At 40.0% G+C, this 8,795-nt stretch overlaps 1 annotated feature.

The window, feature by feature from the left end:
• Nucleotides 7,138–7,307: an enhancer, noted in NCBI's record as "experimental_5116 CRE fragment used in MPRA reporter constructs". NCBI's record gives its function as "activates a minimal promoter by MPRAs in K562 erythroleukemia cells, with activity observed for both the introgressed and non-introgressed 1:222476920 variant alleles {active_cell/tissue: K562}" and the evidence as "EXISTENCE:reporter gene assay evidence [ECO:0000049][PMID:34662402]".

Consider the following 8,795-nt stretch of genomic DNA (forward strand, 5'->3'; position numbering starts at 1 on the left):
AATGAGGGGCGAAAAAAGCTATAAGGCATATGGGAAGCAAATAGCAAGATAGCATAAGTTCCTCCTTATTATGAACTACTTTAAATTTAAATGAATTAAAGTCTCCATGAAAGGACAGAGAATGGCAGAATGAAAAAATAACCATTATCCACCTATATACTGTCTACAAGACTTAACTGAGATCCAAAGACACAAATAAATTAAAAGTGAAAGGATGGATTACAATATTCCTTGCAAATAGTAACTGCTATGTTTGAATGTCCTCTCCAAAAACTCATGTTTAAATTTAATTGGCATTGTGATGGTATTAAGATGTGGGGCCTTCAATTGCTACAAAAAGAATAAAATACCTAGGACTAGACCCAGCAAGGGAAGTGAAGGACCTCTTCAAGAATTATGAACCACTATTCAAGGAAATCAGAGAGAACACAAACAAACAGAAAAACACTCCATGCTCATGGATAGGAAGAATCAATATCATGAAAATGGCCACACTGCTTAAAGTAATTTATACATTCAATGCTATCCCCATTAAACTGCCATTGACATTCTTCACAGAATTACAAAAAAACTATTTTAAAATTAATATGGAACCAAAAAAGAGCCTGAATAGCCAAGACAATGCTAAGCAAAAAGACCAAAGCTAGAGGCATCACACTACCTGACTTCAAACTATACTACAAGTCTACAGTAACCCAAACAGCATGGTACTGGTATAAAAACCGACATATAGACCAATGGCACAGAATAGAGAACTCATAAATAAGACTGCACATCTACAACCATCTCATCTTTGACAAACCTGACAAAAGCAAGCAATGGGGAAAGGACTCCCTATTTAATAAATGGGGCTGGGAGAACTGGTTAGCCATATGCAGAAAGTTGAAAGTGGACCCCTTCCTTGGACCTTATGCAAAAATTAACTCAAGATGGATTAGAGACTTACATGTAAAAACCCAAAACTATAAAAACCCTAGAAGAAAACCTAAGCAATACCATTGAGGACACAAGCATGGAGAAAAGACTTTATGATAAAAAATGCTGAAAGCAATTGCCACAAAAGCAAAAATTGACAAATGTGATCTAATTAAACTAAAGAACTTCTGCACCGCAAAAGAAACTATCATCAGAGTGAATAGACAACCAACCTACAGGATGGGAGAAAAATTTTGCAATCTATCCATCTGACAAAGGTGTAATATCCAGAGTCTGCGAGGAACTTAAAAAATTTACAAGAAAAAAAACAAGCAACTCCATTAAAAAGTGGGCAAAAGACATGAACAGACACTTCTCAAAAGAAGACACCCATGCAGCCAACAAACATACGAAAATAAGCTCAACATCACTGATCATTAGAGAAATGCAAATCAAAACCACAATGAGATGCCATCTCATGCCAGTCAGAATGGTGATTATTAAAAAGTCAAGAAATAACAGATGCTGGTGAGGTTGAGGAGAAAAAGGAATGCTTTTACACTGTTGATGGGAATGTAAATTAGTTCAACCATTGTGGAAGACAGTCTGGCAATTCCTCAAAAATATAGAGGCAGAAATACCATTTGACCCAGCAATCCCATTACTGGTTATATACCCAAAGGAATAGAAATCATTCTATTATAAAGATACATGTGGCCAGGGATGGTGGCTCATGCCTGTAATCCCAGCACTTTGGGAGGCCAAGGCAGGTGGATCACCTGAGATCAGGAGTTCGAGACCATCCTGGCCAACATGGCGAAACCCTATCTGTACTAAAAGTACAAAAATTAGCCAGGCGTGGTAGCTGGGCACCTGTAATCCCAGCTACTCAGGAGGCTGAGGCAGGAGAATAGTTTGAACCCAGGAGGCGGAGGTTGCAGTGAGCCAAGATCACACCATTGTACTCCAGCCTGGGTGACAAGGGTGAGACTCCACCTCAAAAGAAAACAAAAAAAGATACATGCACATGTATGCGCATTGCAGCACTATTCACAACAGCAAAGACATGGCATCAACCCAAATGCCCATCAATGATAGACTGTATAAATTAAATGTGGTACATATATGCCATTGAGTACTATGCAGCCATAAAAAGGAATGAGATCATGTCCTTTGCAGGGACATGGATGGAGCTGGAAGCTGTTATCCTCAGCAAGCAAATGCAGGAACAGAAAATCAAACACCGCATGTTCTCTCATATAAAGGACAGCTGAACGATGAGAACACATGGACATATTGAGGGGAACAACATACACTCGGACCTGTCAGGGAGGGTCAGGGAGGGAAAGCACCAGGAAGCATAGCTAATGAATGCTGAGCTTAATACCTAGCTAATGGGTTCATCTGTGCAGAAAACCACCACTGCACACACTTACCTATGCAACAAACCTGCACATCCTGCACATGTACCCTGAAACTTAAAATAAAAGTTGAAGGAAAAAAAAAAGAAGTGGGACCTTTAAGAAGTGATTAGGTCATAAGGGCTCATGAATAGAGTAATTAGAAAAGAAGATTTTGAACATTCTCACAGCAAAACAAAGTTTAAGATGATAGGTATGTTAATTATCATGATTTGATCATTATATCATATATACATGTATCAAAACATCACATTGTACCCCATAAATATGAACAATTGTATGCCAGTGAAAATATTTTTTAAAAGTTGATACAGCTTCATCTAGTTTTCTCAATCAGAACATATGTCTTTGGAGCATATGTATAGTTGCTCTGAAACCAACATGCTGCAGAGACCACATGAAGGTAAATAGAGAGTCAGAGGAGCCCTAGCTGTTTCAACCCCCAGCACTTTGAAGTTTCCTGGTCCCAGTGCCAAACATGTGAATGAAGAAGCCCTCAAGATGATTCCAGCATTATCCCTGTCTCATGGCAGCCCGGTGAGATCCTCTGAGTGGGAACCACCTAGCTGAACCCAATCACCAAAATCATAAGAGATAACAATAATAAATGATTATTGTTTCACACTCAAAAATAAGAAAATTACAAAATTCTGTGTATCAAAAGATACTATCAGCAGTGAAAAGGCAACCCACAGAATGGGAGAAAATATTTGCAAACCATGTATCTGGATATAAGTGTCCAGGATATGTAGAGAATGCCTAAATACACAAAAAAATAAAAATGGACAAAGTACTTAAATAGACATTTCTTCAAAGAAGATATATAAATGGCCAATAAGCAAAGAAAAGATGCTCAATGATATGGTTTGGTTCTGTGTCCCCACCCAAATCTCATGTTGAATTGTAACCTCCAATATTGGGGGAGGAACCTGGTGGGGGGTGGTTGGATCATGGGGGTGGACTTCACCCTTGCTGTACTCATGACAGTGAACGAGTTCTCACAAGATCTGGTTGTTAGAAAGTGTGTAGCACTTCCTCTTTCACTCTCTCTCTCTCTCTCTCCTGCTGCCACATGAAGATGTGTGTGCTTTCCCTTTACCATTTTGCCATGATTGTAAATTTCCTGAGTCTTTCTCAGCCATGCCTTCTGTACAGCCTGTGGAACTGTGAGTCAATTAAACCTCTTTTGTTTATAAATTACTACAGTCTCAGGTAGTCCTTTATAGCAGTGTGAGAATGAACTAGTACACTCAACATCACTAATCATTAGGGAAATTCAAATCAAAACTACAATGAGACACCACATCACACCAATTAGGATAGCTACTATCAAAAGAATATAGAAAATTACATGTGAGGATGTGGAGTAATTGGAACCCCTGTGCACTGGTGGTGGAAATGTAAAATGGTACATCCATGTATTAGTCTGCTCCCACACTGCTATAAAGATACTACCTGAGACTGGGTACTTTATAAAGGAAAAAGGTTTAATTGATTCACAGTTCCATCTGGTGGGAGGAGATCTCAGGAAACTTACAATCATGGTAGAAGGCTAAAGGGAAGCAGGCACCTTCTTTAAAAGGCAGCAGGAGAGACAGAGAGTGAAGGGGGAACTGCCAAACACTTTTAAAACTATCGGCTCTCATAAGAATTCCCTCACTATCAAGAGAACAGCATGGGGGAAACTGCCCCCATGATCCAGTTACCTCCCACCAGGTCCCTCCCTCAACATATGGAAATTACAATTCAAGATGAGATTTGGGTGGGGACACAGACCCAAACCACATCAAACCACTATAGAAAACAGTATGGTGGTTCTTCAAAAAACTTAAAATAGAATTCATTGCTGAATCATATGATTCAGCAATTCCACTTCTGGGTATATACCCAAAAGAATCGAAAGCTGGGTCTTAAAAAGATATTTGTACATCTGTATTTGTAACAGTATTATTCACAATCGCCAAAAGATAAAAGGCCACTCAAGTGACCATTGATGATGAGCAGATTAAGCAAACTATGGCGTACATATACATGCAATGGAATATTATTCATCCTGAAAAAGGAAGAAAATTCTGACATATTCTACAATACAGATAAACTTTGAGGATATCATGCTAAGTGAAATAAGCCAGTCACAAAAAGACAAATACTGTATGATTCCACTTATTATTATTTTTTTTTTGAGACAGAGTCTCACCCTGTCGCCCAGGCTGGAGTGCAATGGCATGATCTCAGCTCACTGCAACTTCTGACTCCAGGGTTCAAACAATTCTCTTGCCTCAGCCTCCCAAGTAGCTGGGATTACAGGTGACTGCCACCACGCCCAGCTAATTTTTGTATTTCTAGTAGAGATGGGGTTTCACCATGTTGGCCAGGCTGGTCTTGAACTCCCGACCTCATGATCCGCCCACCTCAGCCTCCCAAAGTGCTGGGATTACAGGTGTGAGCCACTACACCCAGCCCTCCACTTATATAAGGTACTTAGAGTTATCAAAATCATAGAGACAGAAAGTAGAATGGTGATTGCATGGGCAGAAGGAAGAGTAAATGGGAAGTTGTTTAATGAGTACAGAATTTCAGTTTTGCAAGATGAAAAAGTTCTGGAGTTGGATGGTAGTGATAGTTGTGCAACATTATGAAAGTATTTGATACATCTGAACGAAACACTTAAAAATGGTTAAGATGGTAAATTTCATGTTGTGTGTATTTTACCACAATAAAAAAAATGGGGAAAAAAGATATTAGAGTGAGTAAAAGTCCAGCTTCTACTGAAGTTATTTCCATTCTGTATGTCATTGAAATAGGCATCAAAGTCACTCCAAGATGAAATGAATACAGCCACTATACAAGGTCAATCTCTTCCTTTTTAGCTTTGACTCAGAGAGACCCCTTGCTATTACTGCTGTCAGCTTCATATTCTCATTGTCACCCTCTTGACAGCATTGTCATTCAGATGTCCCAGGTCATATCAGGTAAGGCTAAAGCAATCAGAGCAGACAGATTTCTATTCAGGGCTATTTGGAACTGTCTTGTTACCTGAAAGATTCTCCTAATTCATGTGACAACTGGTGACCCACCTTACTCATCGTCAGAGAAATATATAACTTTTTTCTCTCTCCCTCTCCAATCCTCTCCCCACCCCACTTAGTGTTAGGGATGGATTTGCACTGAGTCATACATACTCTCTTCTTTAGGAGTACAAATATGGGCAGCGTTGGTCCTTGAGTATACAGTCTAGGGAAAAGACATATATTAAACAACTAATTATGTAGATAACCATATAATTATTATTCTGATAAAAGATACAAGAGAGGATTACCAGAGTCCTATGAGATCATATAACTACAGGACTTTCTATCCTTGCTGTCTTCCAGAGATTGAGAGGTTGCTTAACTGAGGAAGGGGCATTTAAATTACAACCTAGAAGATGAAAACCAGGGAGAATGCAGTGTCATGAGCAAAGGGGGTGATGATGGGCAATGAGGCCAGGGAGAGACAAGTCCAGATGATCCTGCTGTTTGTTGTTACCTCACGAGTTAGATTCTCCTGCATACTGAACATCAGGAGTTTAGATCTGTTATAGTACAAATGATTTTCATTTGCAAATTCTATAATGAAACGCATAGGACAGAGAGCAATGTGAAAAATTCCCAGGATGTTTCAAACTTCTTCAAAAGTGCTTTTATCTTCTATCCTATACAGGTGGAGGCATTTTATCCAATACAGGTGAGGACATTTTTCCTTTCAACCAAGGCAATGTCTAACATTGCTCCAAAGAGTCAAAGCCCCATATGCCAAAGCCAGAATAGGTAATATGCACGTTCAGGCAACAATAAAATAGAAAACTAACTCCCCAATTGGAGTGTTCACTTATTGCTTGCATACTTGTTCAAAATGTAGCCAATTTATCTCTACAGACTTTTTTGTTAAATAATAGGAGGCTTCAGGTTAGATTCATTCATTATAGTCCTCAAAGTTAATCTCGGAGTGGAAAACTTAAAAGAGAAAGCTTCTGCTATAAGAAATCCAAATGAAATACCTAAAAGGAAAACTTTCTGAAAATTACTATGTTGAGTAGAAACTGTTAAATATACAATATGTTAGAAAAGAATAAAAACTGATCAGTCCAGTGGGCACAACAATAACTTTGGAACCAAAGAGAAGCTGGCGACCATGTGAAATCATCAAGTATACAATGCTCACCTGCAGGTACCCTCAGAATTGCTCCTATGAGACCAGAGCCACTGGCTGACCCGCACTTCACCCCTATGGTTCCTGTGACACAACCCCTCCACTTGTCTTATTGAAATCAGAACATTCTTATCCAGAGGAGGAAAGGGTGTGGCAGCAAAATTGTGTGGTCCAGATCTGGCTGTGGTGGCTCATGTCTGTAATCCTGGTAACTCAGGAGGCTGAGGAAGGAGAATTGCTGTGGCCAGGAGTTCAAGACCAGCCTGGGCAACACAGTAAGACCTCCAACACTACAAAAAAATATATATATTTTTAAATTAGCTAGGCATGGTGGCATATGCCTGTAGTCCTTGATATTTGGGAAGCTGAGGTGGGAGTATCTCATGAGCCCAGCAGTTTGAGGTTACAGTGAGCTATGACTGTGCCACTGCACTGCAGCCTGGGAAACAGTAAAATCCTGTCTCTAAAAATATAATAAAATTTCACAGTGGCTCCCTCCTGTAATCTCAGCACTTTGGGAGGCCAAGGAGGGCAGATCACGAGGTCAAGAGATTGAGAACATCGTGGCCAACATGGTGAAATCCCGACTCTATTAAAAATATAAAAATTAGCTGGGCATGGTGGCACATGCCTGTAATCCCAGCTACTCAGGAGGCTGAGGCAGGAGAATCACTTGAACCTGGGAGGCAGAGGTTGCAGTGAACCGAGATTGTGCCACTGCACTCCAGCAGAGGCGGAACCAGTTTCCCCCTCTCTAAGTAGAAACCATTGACAGTGACAAACCCACAACTCTTTGACTTTGGCTTTTGCTAAATTTGCAAGTGGTGATCACCTGTAACAGGGTCCTGTTGAAATAGGAAGGTCATCGGTGATGAAGGGCAGAGACGCCCCAAATGGAAAAATCTCTTTAAGCTCTGTGTAGCTTGGTAAATATAGTATTAGGATAATCGGTTTGCAGGAGACATCCTAAAATTAGAAGTCTGAGATATCTGGATAAACATCCTAAACAGCAGGCAATGTCCCCATAATATCAGAACTCATTTCCTTGGTTTAAGTGGCTTTTTAAATCCAGAATTTAGGAAGTGAAGGAGCAGGAGCTATCTCAAGGTAAGCCATAGCTTCCTTGGAGAAGTATGGAGAAAAGGTGGCAACTGCAATATCACAATGAGCTCCAATAGGCTCAGAGACCAAAAATAAATGCAAATAAGGATCATCCCCGTGACTTTTAACTTAGAGAGAAATCTATTATTTCAACTAGGATTGAACAAGAAATGTGACACAGTTTTTGTTTGATTTTCTAAAATACAAATAGCTCTTTTTCTTATTTTAAAAATGAGGCACAGTCACTATGGAGCCACTTAAATGTAAAGCCTAAAGAAGAAAATTAAATAGTGATAACCACACTCAGTTTTGGAGGAACATCCTTCCAGACATTTTGCCATGTAAAGTTACCCACCCATATATGCACACACACACATATGCAGACCACAAGAACATGCATAATACATACTTACACAGGCACACATATGCATGTACTTTAAATAAGTGGGCTCATAATAGGGTATTTTATTTTGTCAGTATTATAAGATATAGAAATAGACACAGATAAAGATATACAGACATTTACCATCAAGTTCTTTAAATCATAAATAGAAAAACATGTAATACAATATGTATATTTTATTCCATTATCTGTATTTACTACAATTTAGCCAATCCCCAAACAGTGGTAGAACCAGTTTTGTTCTTTTTACATTTTAAACACTCTCCTTAGACATGATCTTTGCATACTTACCTAAATATGCTCTCAGGAAAGCTCCTAAAAGCGGAATTGCTGGGTTAAAGGGTAGCCCAATATTTTTAAATCTTGGTACATATTGCTAAACTGGAGATGATCTGGCACCAAGGGAGCCTGTTGTCCTTGCACTTTCCCTCTCAACCTGAAGCCCTGCATCTTGGCTTAGCTGTGGTCTGTCCTTACACAGACAGCACAGGCATGTCTGAGTTTCCAGCTGTTTCCCTGCTTTGAGGGGAGCAGGTCTCTCTGGAGAGAAGGCAGAAAGCCCCATGCCCCCTTCAGCCCCTGCTGCTCCACGATGGAGAAGGGGCCTAAGCAGGAACACCTGTCTCTCCTGCAATGACTGATGACACCACTTTCCACACTGGAGACCTGCAATGGGCCTGTCACAAGTGTCACCACTGAACCCTGCACAGGTCTTATGTCCATGTTAGTGGAGTGGGCTAGGCGCAGTGGCTCACACCTGTAAT

The sequence above is a fragment of the Homo sapiens genome, chromosome 1 (assembly GCF_000001405.40).
Source record: "Homo sapiens chromosome 1, GRCh38.p14 Primary Assembly".
Classification (NCBI taxonomy): domain Eukaryota; kingdom Metazoa; phylum Chordata; class Mammalia; order Primates; family Hominidae; genus Homo; species Homo sapiens.